Raw genomic sequence first — 17,440 nt, forward strand, 5'->3', positions numbered from 1 at the left:
GGGAGCCAGTTTCTGGAGGCTGGGAGTGGTTTAGTTTGGGGAAGCATTCAAGCCAGGGAACCACCAACTCTGAGCAGACCGGCCCAGCCGGGCAGCAGCAGGTGCATTTCAGCCTGGCCTCGATCAAGGGGGGAAGCAGGCGTCTGGGCTTGGCTTCTTAGGGACCCTGCTCAGGCAGGCTCTGGGTCAGAGACTGCCTGTGACACAGTCAGGCCCTCGGACCTGGCCAAGTTCAGGTGACTGTCAGCTGCAGCCCTGGAGCTGGACACACACCCTAAACCACAGGAGACACTCTCTGAGCTGTTGATTTTTTCAGAGCAGTCGGACCTGTTCCCAACCGAGTTCTCCGAGGCCTTGTCAGCCACCTGCCTCCCTGGTGCTGTGACACGGCCTGGTCAGATGCCTGGCCAGCGGACCAGGGGCTGCTGTTGAGCCACCACCAGGGACACCACAGGGGCCCTGTGGAGGACAGCCCCTCACTCTGAGAAGGAGCCCTCTAGCTCAGCCTCTGTAGGGGGCGTCTCTGGCAACCTCATCAGCAGGCCAGTGCCCAGCAGAACATGGCCCATCACACATGCCCGAGCACAGCCCAGCCTCAGGAGCTGCCGTCCGATGGGAGGAGAGCACCTCACACGAACACCAGCGTGTGGCATCTGGGTGGGGGACCCCGAGGCCAGAAGCTCCAAGGGCTGAGAACTCAGTTCCCACATGCATCCCCGGAAGATGCCAAGGATAAGGGGAGATAGAAACGCGTTCGTTATAGGGCAGACAGGAAGTGGAGAGAAAATGAGGTTGGGAGGTAGGAGAGGCCGGTGACATGGACAGGAGGCAGGAGAGTACAGGGCCCCACACAGGGTGGGCGGGAGGGACTGACTGTGTGAGTTCCCATGCAGGGGAAGAGTAGCATTTAAACCTGGGACCAAGGCAGGGGCTCCAGAAGCTCCCGAAATTCGGCTGAGAGCTTGAACTGTACCCTGGGCCAGGTGGAGACCTGCTTCTCTTCCTCTAGGGCGTGCTCACACAAACTCGACACGAGGCCATCCGCTGTAGGGTGGGGGCCACGGTGGCCCATCCGTCCTTCCATGTGATATTTACCGGCTCCCTGGGGCAGGCCAGCCAGTAAACCAAACACTGGGGATGCAGCAATGAGCACAAATGCCTGGCTCCGGCGGCAATGGGCTCATATTCCAGTGGCAACGGCAATGGAATAATCACTCCCATTGGCATGAAACCATGTGGGGAGCTGTCCACTTGGGGGCCAGGGCAGAGGAGACGCATGTTCCCGGCCCAGGGAGGGGAGTGGGCCCACTCACCCCATGCCCTCGCAGGCCTGATGCCATCTGGATTCTGAGTATCTGCCATGACCACCGCCCCTACAGACTGTGTCACACGCGGCATGACCCCTGCTGGGTGCTTCGTCCCCTTACCCAGGTGTGGAACTGCGGCCCGCTAGGCGGGAGCCCCCTCCCAGGCGGTCAGTGGGCCGCTGCTGAGTCAGGTCCAATGGAGGAAACTGTCCGTCTATCTTCCTGCTGTGGTGAGGAGGTCTCCCCGTGACCCTGCTCTCAGGGCCTGGTCAGCAGGTTTTTCTAGGAGTGGAGAGGAAAAGGAAGACAGGGCCGTCCTCCCAGAGCCTGAGTTCAGGGAGCCCTGGGTACTGCTTAACAGGAAATGAGCAGAAACGCACCAAGCTGCAGTGCTCAGGAAAAGTGCTTGCCAAATCCAGCCCTGCAAAAGGCGAGAGATAGAGAAAGAGAGAGACAGGCAGGCAGACAGACAGGAAGAAGGTGTGGAGAGGACAGACAGAGAGAGAGGAAGAAGAGGTGAGAGGGCAAAAGAAGGGAGAGACAGAGAGAAAGACAAGGGAAGAGTGAGAACAGAAAGAGAGGAAGAAGAGGGGGGAGAGATAGGGAGAGGAGGGGAGAGAAGGGAGAGAGGGAAACCCGCTGCAGCCCTGGCCACCACATTCTTTCATCCGCTTTCCAGGGACAGCTTCGAAAAAGAACCAGAAGAGACCGCCCCCTGACACTTCAGCTCACACATTAAAAAGCCATTAGAGTTGGAGAGCTCAGGTCCTGCTGAGATGCCTCCAGAGCCTGTTGAGCTCCTGACACCTACCCCACCCCCACCCCGGGGCAATGCTTCCCCTTCCAACCCTCCCGGCACTTAAAGACCTCAGGGGCTTGGAAAAGAGAAACATGGAGGCCGCTCTGAGCTTCTCCTCTAAGCTCTGCCCCGGGCAGCGCCGAAACCTGCGGCTGCCTCCGAAATCCTACTGGGGACGTTGGCAGCATGCTCCAAATTAAACACGACGTTTCCCCAGATCAGATCAGTTGCAAAACACTGGAAACAATCACGGAGGAGGAAAAGGGCTAAGGCAGCAGTGAAGGCTTGGCTGTACCCTAGGCCCCTGGATTAAAGTCCACTGGACACAGAGACACAGGCAGGTCTGAGCGGGACGGGCCTCAACCTGCAGGTTTCTCCTTTGAGGAAAAAATGCAACAGACACACACACAGACATCTGAGGGGCCCAGCTGCCAGCTCAGACCTCAGGTGCACTGCGCACGTGACAGCGGCCACCCCTGGGTGGCCAGGGGTGGGGTGAGCAGTGTCATGTTCTCTGTGTGCTTGATAGGTCTGGGGTGTCAAAATGTGACAGCCCCCAATTTCTTCAACTGAGCGGCATAAGGTGAGACACCTCATCTCGCACTCACAGGCTGTTATTAGGGGCACCTGGAATATAATTAAGTACTGCAGAGCTGGGCTTTAACACACACCCAGATAAGCAGGGCGATCAGCACCCACGGAGCCCCAACTGGTCTTTGGTGAACACGGGATTCTGAGTCAGAGACAAACTTTTAGCCGAACTTTCAGCCCTTGACTTGTTCTGGGACCTACTGTACAGCAGTCACGGGTGGCAGAAATCGGAGTCTGATGACCCCTTGGTCCTGGTTTGTTAAGAATGGGAAAACGTAGGATGCTGCTTGGTTACAAAGTGCCCAGTGACCACCAACAGCCAACCCTGTGAAGGGGGCCAGGTGAGCCAGGTTTCACAGACAGGCCCGGGGAGCCGTGGGGTGTAAGGAGCCTCTAGCTTCCTTTGGGGAAAGGCAGTCTCAAACTTCTGTGTCTGCACAGCCCAGCTGGCACACAGTTCAGGCCTCCACACAGCTGCTGGTTCCACCCGTCTGCAAGCCAGAAACAGAGTGAGCCCTGCCTGTCCTGGGGTGGCCCAGGGTCCACGCCGCCGGCTCCAATGCCGGCTCCAATGCCTCAAGGCACACACCAGTACATGCCGCACGTTCCTGGATTCAGTCACCAGAGCTTCCTGCAAGAACGGACTTAACTCCATTCCCATCATACGTGGACATCACAAAGCAAAGTCCCTTCCTACATCTGTTGCCAACACCTCCCCGAGGGAGAGGGGGCTTCCGGAGGTCAGCCTGCAGCTGCTGGACTCACCGGCCTTGTCCCGGGCACAGCCTCTGAATCACCAACGCCGGCCCTTACCAGCCCACACAAAAGTGCCTCTCAACTACCTGTCACTCCCAGCACAAGGGTATACACTTTTATCTGTGCCAAGGTGAAGGGGTTATGAACCCCATATTTTTGTATCTTAAGATTATTCCCACTGGCTCACGCCTGTAATCCCAGCACTTTGGGAGGCAAGGCAGGGAGATCACTAGGTCAGGAGTTCAACAACAGCCTGGCCAACATGATGAAACCCTGTGTCCACTAAAAATACAAAAATTGGCCAGCTGTGGTGGCGCACGCCTGTATTCCCAGCTACTCAGGAGGCTGAGGCAGGAGAATTACTTGGACCCAGGAAGCGGAGGTTGCAGTGACCTGAGATCGGCCCGCTGCACTCCAGCCTGGGACAGAGCAAGACTCCGTCACACACACACACACACACACACACACACACACACACACACACACACACACAAAAGATCATTCCATGTTTATGGCTTAACAAGTCAAGCACTTTGGTAGGAAAACCAAGAGTGGCCCCACAAAGTGAGGTTTTAAAAAAGAGGTCAGGGCCGGGCACGTGGCTCAGGCCTGTAATCCCAGCACAATGGGAGGCCAAGGCGGGCGGATCACCTGAGGAGTTCAAAACCAGCCTGGCCAACAAGGCGAAACCCCGTTTCTACTAAAAATACAAAAATTAGCTGGGCATGGTGGCAGGCACCTGTAATCCCAGCTACTCAGGAGGCTGGGGCAGGAGAATCGCTTGAACTGGGCAGCAGAGGTTGCAGTGAGACAAGATCGTGCCACTGCACACCACCTTGGGAGTGGGGACAGAACAAGACTGCATCTCAAATACGTAAAATTTTAAAAAATCATAACAACCCGGGCGTGGTAGCTCACACCTGCAATCCCAGCCCTTTGAGAGGCTGAGGCAGGAGGATCACCACCTGAGGTCAGGAGTTCGAGACCAGCCTGGTCAACACAGCAAAACCTCATCTCTACTAAAGATACAAAAATCAGCTGGGCGTGGTGGCACATGCCTGTAATCCCAGCTACTTGGGAGGCTGAGGCAGGAGAATTGCTTGAACCCAGGAGGCGGAGGTTGCAGTGAGGTGAGATTGCGCCACTGCATTCCAGCCTGGGCAATGGTGTGAGACTCCGTCTCAAAAACAAAAAAAACAAAAATAACAAAACAAACAAACAAAAAAAAACACCATCATAAATAAACTAAAAAAAGGTCAGGGCCAAGCACAGAGGCTCACGCCTGTAATCCCAGCACTTTGAGAGAATGAGGAGACAAGATCACTTGAGTCCAGGAGTTCAAGACCTGGAGTGGTGGGGTTTAAGGAGCCTCCAGCCTAGGCAACATAGTGAGACTCAGTCTCTACAAAAAAATTAAAAAATAAATAAAAATAGGCGAGGCACAGTGGCTCACTCCTGTAATCCCAGCACTTTGGGAGGCCAAGGCAGGTGGATCACGAGGTCAGGAGTTCGAAACCAGCCTGACCAACATGTGAAACCCCGTCTCTACTAAAAATACAAAAATGAGCTGGGCGTGGTGGTATGTGCCTGTAATCCCAGCTACTCAGGAGGCTGAGGCAGAAGAATTGCTTGAACCCGGGAGGCAGAGGTTGCAGTGAGCAGAGATCGCGCCACTGCACTCCAGCCTGGGCGACAGAGCTAGACTCTGTCTCAAACAAACAAAAAATTAATATTAAAATTTAAAAATAAATAAAAATAAAAATAGGTCAGAACAAGCAGTATCGTTGACATTCTGAAACACCAGCCATGTCCCAGACACTGCTTACTCTGACCTACAGCCCCCAAATAGGTGGGGCCCAGGATCCCCCGGCAGACAGTCCTCCCCCAACCCCCCTGGCCTCTCCTTTTCTCCTAGGCACAAACCCAGGGCCTAAGGAGCATCAGGCAGATTTCAAAGCTATGGGAGGTGACGCTTGTGAATGTCCCTCCTAGCTCAGTCTGAAGCAATCTTTCCATTCAAATGTTCAAACCCTCTCCCTCCTTTCAGGCAAAAAAAAAAAAAAAAAAAAGCCAGCATTCCAGGCAGCTGCCAGCTCTACCCCTAGTTACACTCTCAATCTCACACAGCCCGGCCACAAGATTTATCAGGAAGCCAGTTAGCAGCTTAAGCCTGGAAATAATGTCACCCAAACCCCCAGCACACCAAGGGAACTTCTGAGAGCAGCTCTCGCTAGCGGCATTCTTTCACCCTCCTTAGTCCCCCAGTTCTAGCTGCGCACGGATGCCAGGAGGCTCTTGAGGGAGTGGGTGTCACACAGGCAGAAAGGAGGGAACCAGGGAGATGGGACCATGACGGACGGCTTTTTACTGCTTTCTTCCAGATGATTCAACTTTCCCCAGCTCAGGCCCTCAACCAGTCTATGGCCAGTTCATGACAAGAAGTAAAAACTCACAAACTGCCCACTCAAGCCCAAACCAATTTTGAACAAGTTCCCAAAAGGTTTTGCAGGGAGATGAACTAGCCTGGAACCCACTAAGGTTCTTACCATTATCACCAACGAGAGATCAGAAACTCAGAACCAACAACACAGCCTCGCCTGTTAGAAAGTAAGTTTATCTTTTCCAGCACTCTCTCCCGCATCCTCCCGGCCTCTGTTGATCAATTTAGAAAGGACACCGTAAGAACCCTTGGAAGTCTAGAGCCTGGTTTAAAGCAGGGTTTCTTAAGCTCAACTCTACTGACGTAGGGCTGGAGAATTCTTCCTTTGCAGCGGGGGGAAGCTGTCCTATGCATTGTAGGATGCTTGGCAACCATCCCTGGCCCCTATCCCCTCGATGCCATGAGCATTCTCTCCCAAAGTTGCGATAACAACTGTCTCCGACATTGCCAAGCCAAGGAAGGGGTCTGCGCCATCCCCGGCTGACAGCGCTGATGGGCGCGTGCCCCTCCTTCAGGAGCCCCGATGCCTGTGGCTCTCAACTATTAAATCAAGTTCCAGCAAAGAACTGGAAACCTTTAAGCTGTGTATGGAACCATTGTGTGTAGCACTGGAAACTGTCCCTTTTCTAAGTCACTGTAAATGGTGTTTTTTTTTGGAGACAGGGTCTGGCTCTGTCTCCCAGGCTGGAGTGCAGTGCTACAATCAGGGCTCCCTGCAGCCCTGACCTCCTCAGGTGCAAGCGATAAAGGTTCCTCGTGATCAGCTGGAAGGTACTTTTGAATTAAAGGTTCACACTGAAGAACCTAAGTGGATAGTGGCATTTGAGGCCAGCAGTGAAAGTGTTTCCTCTCAAAGAGTTCCCTACACAGCAGCAGACATGGTTATTCTGAGAGTCATGTATGTTCTGTGTTTCTCTGTGAACCATGTTTCAGTCTTTGTTTCTGTCATCATATGTACGGGAAATTCCATAGAGACTACATCACACAAAACTGACATTGTCAATTACCAGGAAATACAGGTGCTCACCTTTTGAAGGCTTATTCATACATATGGTTGCCACAATACGTATATATGATAAACAGTGTATGTATACATACAAGTTGTTTAGGCCAGGCACGGTGGCTCACACCTGTAATCCCAGCACTTTGGGAGGCTGAGGCGGGCAGATCATGAGGTCAGGAGTTCAACACCAGCCTGACCAACATGGTGAAACCCTGTCTCTACTAAAAATACAAAAAAAATTAGCCGGGTGTGGTGGCGCACCTGTAATCCCAGCTACTCAGGAGGCTGAGGCAAGAGAATCGCTTGAACCCGGGAGGCGGAGGTTGGTCTCAGTAAGCCAAGATTGCGCCACTGCACTCCAGCCTGGGTGACAGAGCAAGACTCTGTCTCAAAATATATATATATATATACAGTTGTCACAATATGTATATGATAAACGGTGTACATATACACATAAAATGTTTATGGTGGATCTAGCTCCCCCCTAAAAAAGAAGCCCAGATACTGAAAGACACTCGAATTTTCCTAAAGACTTGAGGGTGGGCTCGACCTTAGGGTCTGGATGCTGAGTTTTATGTAAATATCTACCTGTGGGGCGGGGTGCCATGGCTCATGCCTGTAATCTCAGCACTTTGGGAGACTGAGGCAGGTAGATCACCCGAGGTCAAGAGTTCGAGACCAGCCTGGCCAACATGGTGAAACCCCGTCTCTACTAAAAATACAAAAAAATTAGCGGGGCATGGTGGTGGGTGCCTGTAATCGCAGCTACTCGGGAGGCTGAGGCAGGAGAATTGCTTGAACAGAGGAGGCGGAGGTTGCAGTGAGCCGAGATCGTGCCATTGTACTCCAGCCTGGGCAACAAGAGAGAAGCTCCGTCTCAAAAACAAACAAACAAACAAAAACAAACTACACATGTGGCTATCTGTGTTTAGCAAACTAGGAAAATCTTTGTTTTATTTTATATTTTACTTTTTTTTTTTTTGAGACGAAGTCTCGCTCTCATCCACCAGGCTGGAGTGCTTCCCAAACTGCTGGGATTAAAGGCGTGAGCCACCACACCTGGCCAAACTAGGAAAATCGTAAGAATGGCTCAGTGGGGATTTTTTTGTTCCTTTGTTTTGGTATAATTATCCTCATTTTTTTTCCAAATCTTCAAGCAGGGTTTCTCAAATTTTGGTACTATTGACATTTGGGGCCAGGTAATTCTTGGGGGCAGTGGGGAGATGCTGCCCTGGGCACCGGAGGATGTCCAGCAATATCGTCTACCTACTAGTAGCCAGCAGCACCGCACCAAGCTGTGACAACCAAAAAGGTCCCAGACATTGTCAATGTCCCCTGGAGGACAGAACTGGCCCTGTTTTACAGGAAGATAAATGTCCCCTAATCCTTTTGTGTAAAAGGGGGAATGTTTTTTACCCTTAGACCGGATAAGCAAGACCAGCTGAGACCTACTGGTATAAAGCATACTGCCTGCTCACATGGTGAGAACTCAATAAATGTTTGTATCACTACGTAATGAGAGATCCCGAGAGATGTCACTTTCCAACAGGCACAGCAGAGGGTGAAAGAGTTGTTATTAGACTAAAAACAAAAAAAGAGACACAAATAGTCGGATACGTCCAGATAACAGCTGAGATGTCAGAGGGAACCATGGCAATGATCACAGAAGAGCATGGAACGCAGCCAGGGTGACTTCTAAGAGCACGACTCAGGACAGAATTGACCAGGAGGCCAAGACGACAGCCCCGAGGGTGGGCTGTGGCCATTGTGCTTTGGGACTAGGCCTCGGGATGTGGAAATAGGCAATCCTAAGCCCAGCTAACACCACACTGTCCTTTCCAGGCTTCAAGGCGCCATTCACAGATCTGAACGCAGGTCATCCTGCTTCCCTTGAGAGAGACAAAGTCCTGGTGGCCGGCACAAGAGGCCTGGTTCATTCCTCTAAAGAGGGTGTCAGCTCAGGACAATATGGGCACAGGCCCTGATCGCTGGGAGTGGGGGTGGTGGCTTCCAGAGACCTGTCTATAGCAGGGAACAAAGTGGCCCAGGAATTCCTCCAAGACCTCTGAGGACATCTTTCCTGCTAGGGAGCAGTACTCTATGGTGCTCTAACCAAGCAGGTGAAGGTCTGACGCCTGCTGGGCAAGGTCTAACCCAGGGCCAGGCCATCTGATTTCAAAGTGCTGGGGCAAGGGGGTGGGACTGTTCTCAGTGACAACTCTAAAATTCGTCTGGATTAAATCTTTCTCCAGGGTTTAACCATCATCTGGGGTGTAGAGATAGACCCTAAGTATCTATATCCCTAAACAACCACTAGGGTTGTTACTTTTTTTATTTATTTTTTGAGACAGGGTCTCACTTTGCTGCCCAGGCTGAAGTGCAGTGGCACGATCATAGTTCACTGCAGCCTTGAACTGCTGGGCTCAAGTGGTCCTCCTGCCTCAGCCTCCCAAGTAGCTGGGACTGCAGGTGCACATCACCACACCTGGCTAACTTTTTCATATTTTGTAGAGATGGGATCTCCCTATATCGCCCAGGCTGGTCTTGAACTCCTGAACTCAAGGGAACCCCTGCCTCAGCCTTCAAAGTGCTGGGATTACAGGCATGAGCCACAGCACCTGGCAGGGTCCTTACTTTTTTCTTTCCAGGGGCAAAGGTACCTGCTGGGTGTTACTGGGGACTCGTTTCTCTTTGCTCCCACTGGGCATCTCCGAACTGTGGGCAGAGAACCCTGTTTGCCACCTTGGCCCAAGCATTTGCTAAGATCATTGCTCATTCCTCGGTGGACTCTATCTACACAAATTCCACACAACCTCACCCTGCAGTACACGGACCAATAGGATTCAACAATCTGAGGCTTCTTGTCTTTTTTTTTTTTTCAAGACGGAGTCTCGCTCTGTCACCCAGGCTGGAGTGCAGTGGTGCAATCTCGGCTCACTGCAACCTCTGCCTGCCGGATTCAAGAGATTCTCCTGTCTCACCCTCCTTAGTAGCTGGGGTTACAGGCAAAAATACAAAATTTTTGTATTGTTAGTAGAGATGGGGTTTTGCCATGTTGCCCAGGCTGCTCTCAAACTCCTGGCTTCAAGTGATCCGCCCGCCTCGGCCTCCCAAACTGCTGGGATTCCAGGCATGAGCCACCGCGCCCGGCCAAATTTGAGGCTTCTTGCATTCGAAATTGCAAAGTGAAAATTTTAAATGTGCCCAGTTTTCTGGAGAGTGGATCCACAGCTTTCACCAGATTCATGAGCAGTGGGCCCTGGAGTTTCCAAAAAAAACCCTTTATCTGTCCATATCAAATGCACTTAGGCTGGGATGCAGCATTCTACTTCTGGGAATTCATCCTATAAAACTAATCCCACTGGTGAGCAAAGATATTCACTGGCTATTTATTGTAGTAATGGTAACAGAAAATTCCGGTAAACAATAGAGATATCTATCAACTGACAACTGGTTAAATAAATTATGGTATATGTCATGGAATGAAATACAATGTACCCATTAAAAAGAGCCAAGTAGGCCAGGCAGGTGGCTTACGTCGATAATCCCAGCATGTTGGGAAGCCGAAGCAGGCGGATTACTTGAGGCCAGGAGTTCGAGACCACCCTGGGGCACATGGAGAAACCCTGTCTCTGCTAAAATTACAAAAAGTAGCCGGGCGTGGTGGCGCATGCCTGTAGTCCCAGCTACTGGGGAGGCTGAGGCAGGAGAATTGCTTGAACACAGGAGGCGGAGCTTGCAGTGAGCCGAGATTGCACCACTGCCCTCCAGCTGGGGCGACAGAGCATGACTCCCTCTCAAAAAAAAAAAAAAAAAAAAAAATCCAAGAAGTGTGGAGTATGGTCTAGAGCAGTAGTCCTGGGGGACAGGAAAGGAAGGGAGGAAGGAAAGAAGAGAAGGGAGGGAGGGAGAGAGGCAAGGAGGGAGGGAGGAAGGAAGGAAAGAAGGAAGGAAGGAACGAAGGGAGGGAAGGAGGACTGATTCTAAGGGGACACACGGTGATGTCTCAAGATATTTTTGGTTGTCACGACTTGGGGGTGCTCCTGGCCCGGAGTGGGTGGAGGCCAGGGGCGCTGCTCAGCACCCCGCAGTGCCCAGGACGGCCCCACCACGGAGAACAATCCAGCCCCAGATGTCAACAGTGCCGACGGAGGGGGAGAAATCCCGCTCCAGTGTGATCTCCAAGCAATGAAAAACACAGCACACAGGATTCTGTGGCATATGCTATCACAGGGTACGTGTTTTTAAAGGAAAGGCACACACGTATCTTAGGAAAGGGACATACGGAGTCGATGACAGTCGCTTGTCTCTGGGGAGAAGGGCTGGCTGCCCGAGGAGCAGAGAGGGGAAACTGACTTCTTCCTCTACCTTTTCAACTTTGTACCTTGCCCATCCAGAGGATTTTGAACGTAACTGCTCTAGACGCAACTTTTCCCTGGCTCTGGGTTATCTGGCAAGAGTCCTGTGTCGACAGCCTCGGGACTCCTCTCTTCCCCTTCTCTCCCCGCACCCCGCCTTTGCAGCGGAGAGAAGGAGGGGAGAGGTCCGCGTCCCTGGGCAGCCCAGGGTGCCTCTCCCCTCCTCCCAGGGGCTCTGTCCCCGCTTCTGGAGCCCGCATGGCGGGCAGGGCCTGGGCCACCTCGTCGCCCCCGTCCGTCCCTTGGTCTTCCCACCTGGCAGGGGACACGCGCCAACGTCCCCACCTCGGTCCCCCCGGCCCCCTCCCGGGCCAGGTCGGGCCTGGCTCCCTCATCCGGGCAGCCCGGGGCCCGGTACTCGGCTCCCGCCTGGGCCTGCGCTCACCTGGCTCGCCTTGTAGAACTGCTTCTTCAGCCCCGCCACCGACATGCTGCCGCCCGCCGCCGAGCCTCCCGCCCGGACCGCGCCAGCGACAGGCTCCCGGGCGCCGCCGACCCTCTGCGCGCCTCAGCAGTCCCCGTCGGCGCCGCCTCCGCCACCCGCTTGCCAGCTCCGCGCCCGCCCCGGCGCCGCCTCAGCCGCTCGCGCGCCCGCGCGGCCAGGATATTACATGGCAACCGCACGCTTCCGGTGCCGGCCCCCGCGCGCGCCCCCGGCCCCCGCGCGCGCCCCCGGCCCCGTCTGCGCACGCGCGCCCTCTGCCGGCTGAAGAGCGCACGTGCACATTGTCTACCGCGGGAGAGGCCGCCTCTGTCAGTGAGTTGAGCGGGGCGAGCCTAGAGGGGCCGTAGCAGTTGCAGCGCCCCCTGGAGTCGTGGAGGTGACCCTAACGTCTTGGAAAACGCGCTTAGTTTAAACCTGGCCAGGGAGGTTGGGAAGTAGAAGGGGCCCCTGCTTACGATTCTTCAGATTCCTGTTTACTCATCTTAGCTAAATCCAGTTCGTCTAAGTGTTCAGCCCCCTCCCATTTTTATTTATTTATTTATTTTTTTTTTGAGACGGAGTCTTGCTTTGTCTCCCAGGCTGGAGTGCAGTGGCGTGATCTCGGCTCACTGCAACCTCCGCCTCCCGGGTTCAAGCGATTCTCCTGCCTCAGCCTCCCAAGTAGCTGAGATTACAGGCGCGCACCACCATGCTAGGCTAATTTTTGTATTTTTAGTAGAGACAGTGTTTCGCCATGTTGGCCAGGCTGGTCTCGAACTCCTGACCTCAGGTGATCCAACCCCCAACCCCCCCACCAAATCCAGCCTCCCAAAGTACTGGTCTCACAGGTATGAGCCACCGTGCCCGGCCACCTCTCTTCCTCTCTCTCTCTGTCCTGTGTTCATCCATTCAGTTGCCCACGTGACACATCTAGACATCTAGGTCTGTCTTCATGCCTTGACCATACTTTCCACCAGTCCTCCCCTCCAATTCTTCCTTGTCATGGCAGCCAGAAAGATGCTTCTAGAATGCAATTCAGGGCCAGGGGCGGTGGCTCACGCCTGTAATCCCAGCACTTTGGGAGGCCTAGGTGGGCGGATCACGAGGTCAGGAGATTGAGACCATCCTGGCTAACACGGTGAAACCCTGTCTCTACTAAAAAATAGAAAAAATTAGCCGGACGTGGTGGCGGGCGCCTGTGGTCCCAGCTACTAGGGACTCCGTCTCAAGAAAAAAGAAAGAAAGAAAGGAAGGAAGGAAGGAAGGAAGGAAGGAAGGAAGGAAGAAAGAAAGAAAGAAAACCTGTTTCTACACTCACAGGCTGACACTGAAGTTCTCTGTTTTGTGTGAGGCTTTTAATCTGCTTGATCTACACAGTTCAATCAAATATTTATACATTCACTCAAACATTTATTGACCTGGTAAATATGATCAGTTACTAACAGGTCCTGGGGTTCCAGTGAGGAATGAGTCCTACCCTCGCCAGAACTAATGACAAAAGGCAGAAATTAATTCATTAGTCAAATAACAAACTAATAAATAGACACAGCTGTAATTGCTTTAAGGAAAAGAACAGTGTTGTAGGCACTTGATATTGTCAGGGTTGGGGAAGAAAAGGCTTCCTGGGGTGACGATCTAAGATCTGAAAAGTATAAATTAGCCAGGAAAAGAGCTGCGAAAAGATTGTTCTAGGCAGAGAAAACAGCATGTGCCAATTTCCTGAGGATTAAACCAGAAACGATCCATTTCGTCCATTTCGTTCACTCATTCTACATGTTATTTACTGAATGTCAAATACTTCCGAAGCGCTCCCCAGACTTCGTTTTATTGTTCTTGTAGAAAGCAATTTATAATTTTAATTGCTGTTGCTATATTTAGCCGATGTCCCATTAGGATAAACTCAAAACTCCAGGTTCCTCATCTAAATCCCACTTTCAAGTTGTCATCTGCGCCTTGCGTAAAATGTTCTGGTGACGTAAGAGCCTGGGCCTCCCTCCTCTTAGGGACTATCCCACGCGATCAGCCAGTCGCAGCGCAGAGCAATGAGCTTGACACCTCCTTCCTCCAATCGCAGGGCAGCTCCTCCCAGCCAATGACAGGCCTCCGAGGGGAAGCCCAGTCCCTCGCGGATATGTCAATGGGCGAGCCCTGGGAGGAATGGAAGTCACGGATCTCGCGAGGATGCCCCCGGCGCCCCTCAATTCCCGAGGCGGGCCGTCACGTGACCCGGGCTCGCCCAATTGGCGCGCGGACTGCGGGGGTCGCCGCGGTTCCCGCCAAATACGAGCGCGGCGGCCGCGGCGGCAGCAGCGGCGCGGGCGGGAGGGCGAAGAGCAGCGGCCGCCTGAGGGGAGCCCGCGCCTCCGCCGCCTGAGAGGAGGTCGAGCTGCCGCCGGGGCGATGCTGGAGGAGCTGGAGTGCGGGGCGCCCGGCGCCAGGGGAGCCGCCACAGGTCGGTTCGGGCCCGCGCCGAGGGGAAGGGGGGGCGCGGCGCGCGGCCTGGACGGGCCGAGGCGGCGATGGGAGGCGGACGGGCCTCCGGGCGCCAAGCCTGGTCCTGCGGGCCGGGCGTTCACCCCCTGGGGCCTTCTCATCCCCAGCGAGGGCCTGGCGTCCCCAAGGGCACCCTTGTTGACGTTATTGTTGTAGCCGCGACCATATTGTTTGTTTCCGGCGCTTTTGCGTCAGTTCGTCCCTCCAGGACTCTCTGGGGCGGTGGGTCGGAGGGGCCGAGAGGGGAAACTGAGGCCCAGGGAAGCGAAAGGGCTTGCCCTGCAGGTTACTGGATGCGTTTGTGTCCCTTGACCATGTTGGACCTTGCAGCGGGTGGGGAAACTGAGGCCCAAGGTCGCACGGGCTCGGGGACCAGTACCGATGCCGCTGAGGGTCGGGGTAAGCCCGGGTAAGAAGAGGCCCAGATGGTAGAGATGGCCAGGAGGGTGGGACTCCCGAGTTCTTGCTCCTTCCTGATATGCACCGTGACTTCCTCCTCCGTGTGCCTTGGAATGGGGTCTTTGGAGCCCACCACAGGCCTCCTGAAACGTGGGAGGGTGAACCAAGGAAGACCAGACTGTCCCTCTCCCTTGCTGGACTCTGCATTACATAACGCTTTGGCAGCACTTGGCATTACGCTTTGGCACATAGTAGGTGCTCAGTAAATAACGTGAACGAATGAAGGGCTAGAATGGACGCCAGTCCAGTTTCTCAGCCTCAGCAGTGTTGATATTTGTTGCCGTCCTGGGCACGGCACTGCAGGGTGTTAAGCATCATCCCTGGCCTCCGCCTTTTGCAGGCCAGTAGCAGCCCCTCTCACCATGCCTTAGTAACAGCCAGAAATACCATTGCCCTGTGTCCCCTATGGGGCAGATTCCGCCTTGGCTGAAAATCATGGCTGTAGTTCCTTCTAGCCTGTGGGATTTCCCGGAGACATAAAATTAATATAAAGTTGGTACTGTCGTGGAGCTGTGATGTTTTAAGTCAGGATGTTTAACTTTATTTATTTATTTATTTTGAGACTGAGTCTTGCTCTGTTGCCCAACCTCTGCCTCTCTGGTTCAAGCGATTCTTCTGCCTCAGCCTCCCAAGTAGCTGGGATTACAGGCCTGCACCACCATGCCTGGCTAATTTTTGTATTTTTTAGTAGAGACGGGGTTTCACCATGTTGGGCAGGCTGGTCTCGAACTTCTGACCTCAGGTAATCCACCTGCATTGGCCTCCCAAAATGCTGGGATTACAGGCATGAGCCACCATGCCTGGCCAGGATATTTAACTTTAAAAAAAAAAATCGCTACTCGCTAGGACCATGCTATCATGAAAGGAAAGTATATTTTAGTGCCAAATAAAATTAGAAAGGATGTAATCGCAGAATAAAGAGCAGTTAGTAACTTTATACACACATATGTGTTAATCGTGTGTATCTTTGGATCTCTGGATTGGGAGTGTCCCGTTTTATATACAAGATTTTTTAATGAGGGTGGGTCCTGTTTTTAATGAGGTTGTTTCTGTTCCACTTGCACCAAAGCTAGTGACTCAAAGCCACACAAATAGATTTTTGTGATTGTCTCGAAAATAAAGTTAAGTGACTAAAAATCATATCCTTCAGTTAGGGGGTAGAAATCCATGGCTTTTGGTAAGTGGACACTTGAGAATGATACTGTCTTTATTTCTTTGAAGTGGCTAGAAAGGAAACATGAATTTTCTCAGTACCTTTTCTTATTCACTAAGCTTGGGGCGGTGGGTGAGGGGTGGTTTCATGTATGGACGATGGAGTTTTTTAGGAAGCCCCAGTCTGCTTTTAAAAAGTACTCACTTTTATGTAATGCTTACAAAACATACGTAGATTAACCAAAATAACTAAACTAGGTTTTGCCAAGCCAGATCTCCTGGTAAGTGTGAGCTTCCTAAACTTACTCTGTTTAAGGTATTTATCTAAAGACTCGCTTCTATTTATGATCACTGCTGCATCTGCTTTGATATTATTAGATGGTTTCTTGAGATTTTTTTTGCAGGAAAATATTTTGTCTTATCTTCTCTTGACAGCACTTCAGCTCCTGCCTGGCAAGCTCAAAGTGCTTTAAATTGTGGTACCTTCATGAATTCTCTTTAAAAAGAAAAGGATCCCTTTTCTGATTTTACAGATTTGGTGGTGGTATGGGGGCTTGGGTTGGAGGAAGATGTTTGGGGATCATGGGAATGAAATAGGTAATCTGATGTTTTCTCTCCTCCCTACTTTTACTCATTCCACTTTCATTTCATGAAACAGTTCCGGTTACTCTCTTAGTTGGCTTTCTGATTTATTCCAGACCCTAACCAGGTACCATAGGTGCAGCATGGAACAAGTCTTTCTGCTGTCATAGAGTTGGCATTTTGTTTCCAGAGAGACGTAATAAACACGAAAGTTTCAGATTAAATGCCACAAAGAAAATAAAACAAGACATGACAGTGTCTAGGGTAGGATTTCTCAACCTATTAACATTTTGAGGCCAAGCGCCGTGGCCAGCACTTTGGGAGGCTGAGGCGGGTGGATCACGAGGTCAGGAGTTCGAGACCATTCTGGCTAACATGGTGAAACCCCGTCTCTGCTAAAAATACAAAAATTAGCCGAGAGTGGTGGCATGCGCCTGTAGTCCCAGCTACTTGAGAGAGTGAGGCAGGAGAATCGCTTGAACCCAGGAGGCGGAGGTTGCAGTGAGCTGAGACTGTGCCATTGCACTCCAGCCTGGGCGACAGAGTGAGACTCTGTCTCCAAAAAAAAAAAAAAAATTTTTTTTTTTTGGCCCATATAATTCTTCATTGTGGTGTGCTGTGCATTGCATTGTGGGACATTTAGCAGAATCCCTGGCCTCTACCCACTGGATGTGAATAGCATCCCTTTGAGCCCTCCCTGCATCATGACAACCAAAAACATCTCTAGACTGTGTCAAATGGCCCCCGAGGACAGAGGGGTCAGAATTGCCTCCACCTTGTACATAATTGGCTCTACATATGTATTTGCTAACTTGATTATTTGCAGAATTTAACAGTTTACCCTTTGACACTTTTATTTGCAGCCATGGATTGCAAAGATAGACCAGCTTTTCCAGTTAAGAAGTTAATACAAGGTAATTATTTGGAAATGGGTTAAAGAGTTGTTCGTAGTTTATAGTCTTCCTTGTCTCTTGTTGGAGACCTCAGTGGAAGCCTGGAGCTAGAGGGGAGAGAAA

General features: G+C 52.1%; 2 protein-coding genes across 12 annotated transcripts in view, besides 10 other annotated features; one reads left to right on the forward strand and one right to left on the reverse strand.

Annotated features, from left to right (window-relative positions):
- Positions 1 to 11,923, reverse strand: part of SH3GL1 (SH3 domain containing GRB2 like 1, endophilin A2) — a 40,178-nt gene extending 28,255 nt beyond the window's left edge. For 3 of the 4 annotated variants that reach the window (NM_001199943.2, NM_001199944.2, NM_003025.4), the window contains exon 1: positions 11,700 to 11,923. In NM_001199943.2, coding sequence (NP_001186872.1) covers positions 11,700 to 11,744 — 45 coding nt within the window. In that variant the 5' untranslated portion in view covers positions 11,745 to 11,923. Of the gene's footprint in view, positions 1 to 1,427; positions 1,590 to 11,699 lie in introns of all 4 variants that reach the window. The other variant, XM_047439222.1, reaches the window with a different exon arrangement.
- Positions 780 to 1,387: an enhancer, noted in NCBI's record as "H3K27ac-H3K4me1 hESC enhancer chr19:4389401-4390008 (GRCh37/hg19 assembly coordinates)". NCBI's record gives its function as "activates a minimal SCP1, AML or CMV promoter by ChIP-STARR-seq in naive H9 embryonic stem cells {active_cell/tissue: H9 hESC(naive)}" and the evidence as "EXISTENCE:reporter gene assay evidence [ECO:0000049][PMID:30033119]".
- Positions 1,388 to 1,994: an enhancer, noted in NCBI's record as "NANOG-H3K27ac-H3K4me1 hESC enhancer chr19:4390009-4390615 (GRCh37/hg19 assembly coordinates)". NCBI's record gives its function as "activates a minimal SCP1, AML or CMV promoter by ChIP-STARR-seq in naive H9 embryonic stem cells {active_cell/tissue: H9 hESC(naive)}" and the evidence as "EXISTENCE:reporter gene assay evidence [ECO:0000049][PMID:30033119]".
- Positions 1,995 to 2,603: an enhancer, noted in NCBI's record as "NANOG-H3K27ac-H3K4me1 hESC enhancer chr19:4390616-4391224 (GRCh37/hg19 assembly coordinates)". NCBI's record gives its function as "activates a minimal SCP1, AML or CMV promoter by ChIP-STARR-seq in naive H9 embryonic stem cells {active_cell/tissue: H9 hESC(naive)}" and the evidence as "EXISTENCE:reporter gene assay evidence [ECO:0000049][PMID:30033119]".
- Positions 6,370 to 6,880: an enhancer, noted in NCBI's record as "H3K4me1 hESC enhancer chr19:4394991-4395501 (GRCh37/hg19 assembly coordinates)". NCBI's record gives its function as "activates a minimal SCP1, AML or CMV promoter by ChIP-STARR-seq in primed H9 embryonic stem cells {active_cell/tissue: H9 hESC(primed)}" and the evidence as "EXISTENCE:reporter gene assay evidence [ECO:0000049][PMID:30033119]".
- Positions 11,284 to 12,113: an enhancer, noted in NCBI's record as "H3K27ac-H3K4me1 hESC enhancer chr19:4399905-4400734 (GRCh37/hg19 assembly coordinates)". NCBI's record gives its function as "activates a minimal SCP1, AML or CMV promoter by ChIP-STARR-seq in primed H9 embryonic stem cells {active_cell/tissue: H9 hESC(primed)}" and the evidence as "EXISTENCE:reporter gene assay evidence [ECO:0000049][PMID:30033119]".
- Positions 11,402 to 11,451: a silencer, noted in NCBI's record as "silent region_9887". NCBI's record gives its function as "represses an Ori minimal core promoter by ATAC-STARR-seq in GM12878 lymphoblastoid cells {active_cell/tissue: GM12878}" and the evidence as "EXISTENCE:reporter gene assay evidence [ECO:0000049][PMID:35858748]".
- Positions 11,512 to 12,021: a silencer, noted in NCBI's record as "silent region_9888". NCBI's record gives its function as "represses an Ori minimal core promoter by ATAC-STARR-seq in GM12878 lymphoblastoid cells {active_cell/tissue: GM12878}" and the evidence as "EXISTENCE:reporter gene assay evidence [ECO:0000049][PMID:35858748]".
- Positions 13,776 to 14,473: an enhancer, noted in NCBI's record as "NANOG-H3K27ac-H3K4me1 hESC enhancer chr19:4402397-4403094 (GRCh37/hg19 assembly coordinates)". NCBI's record gives its function as "activates a minimal SCP1, AML or CMV promoter by ChIP-STARR-seq in primed H9 embryonic stem cells {active_cell/tissue: H9 hESC(primed)}" and the evidence as "EXISTENCE:reporter gene assay evidence [ECO:0000049][PMID:30033119]".
- Positions 13,984 to 14,263: a silencer, noted in NCBI's record as "silent region_9889". NCBI's record gives its function as "represses an Ori minimal core promoter by ATAC-STARR-seq in GM12878 lymphoblastoid cells {active_cell/tissue: GM12878}" and the evidence as "EXISTENCE:reporter gene assay evidence [ECO:0000049][PMID:35858748]".
- Positions 14,016 to 17,440, forward strand: part of CHAF1A (chromatin assembly factor 1 subunit A) — a 48,191-nt gene continuing 44,766 nt past the window's right edge. For 7 of the 8 annotated variants that reach the window (XR_007066505.1, XR_936135.3, XR_007066507.1 and 4 more), the window contains exons 1-2: positions 14,016 to 14,190; positions 17,288 to 17,338. Coding sequence is in view for 3 of the 8 variants with exons in the window: in XM_011527605.3 (XP_011525907.1) it covers positions 14,139 to 14,190; positions 17,288 to 17,338 (103 nt within the window). In the remaining 5 variants the exon portion in view is untranslated. The remainder of the gene's footprint in view (positions 14,191 to 17,287; positions 17,339 to 17,440) is intronic. The other variant, XM_047438012.1, reaches the window with a different exon arrangement.
- Positions 14,474 to 15,169: an enhancer, noted in NCBI's record as "NANOG-H3K27ac-H3K4me1 hESC enhancer chr19:4403095-4403790 (GRCh37/hg19 assembly coordinates)". NCBI's record gives its function as "activates a minimal SCP1, AML or CMV promoter by ChIP-STARR-seq in primed H9 embryonic stem cells {active_cell/tissue: H9 hESC(primed)}" and the evidence as "EXISTENCE:reporter gene assay evidence [ECO:0000049][PMID:30033119]".

This window comes from Homo sapiens, chromosome 19 (genome assembly GCF_000001405.40).
Source record: "Homo sapiens chromosome 19, GRCh38.p14 Primary Assembly".
Classification (NCBI taxonomy): domain Eukaryota; kingdom Metazoa; phylum Chordata; class Mammalia; order Primates; family Hominidae; genus Homo; species Homo sapiens.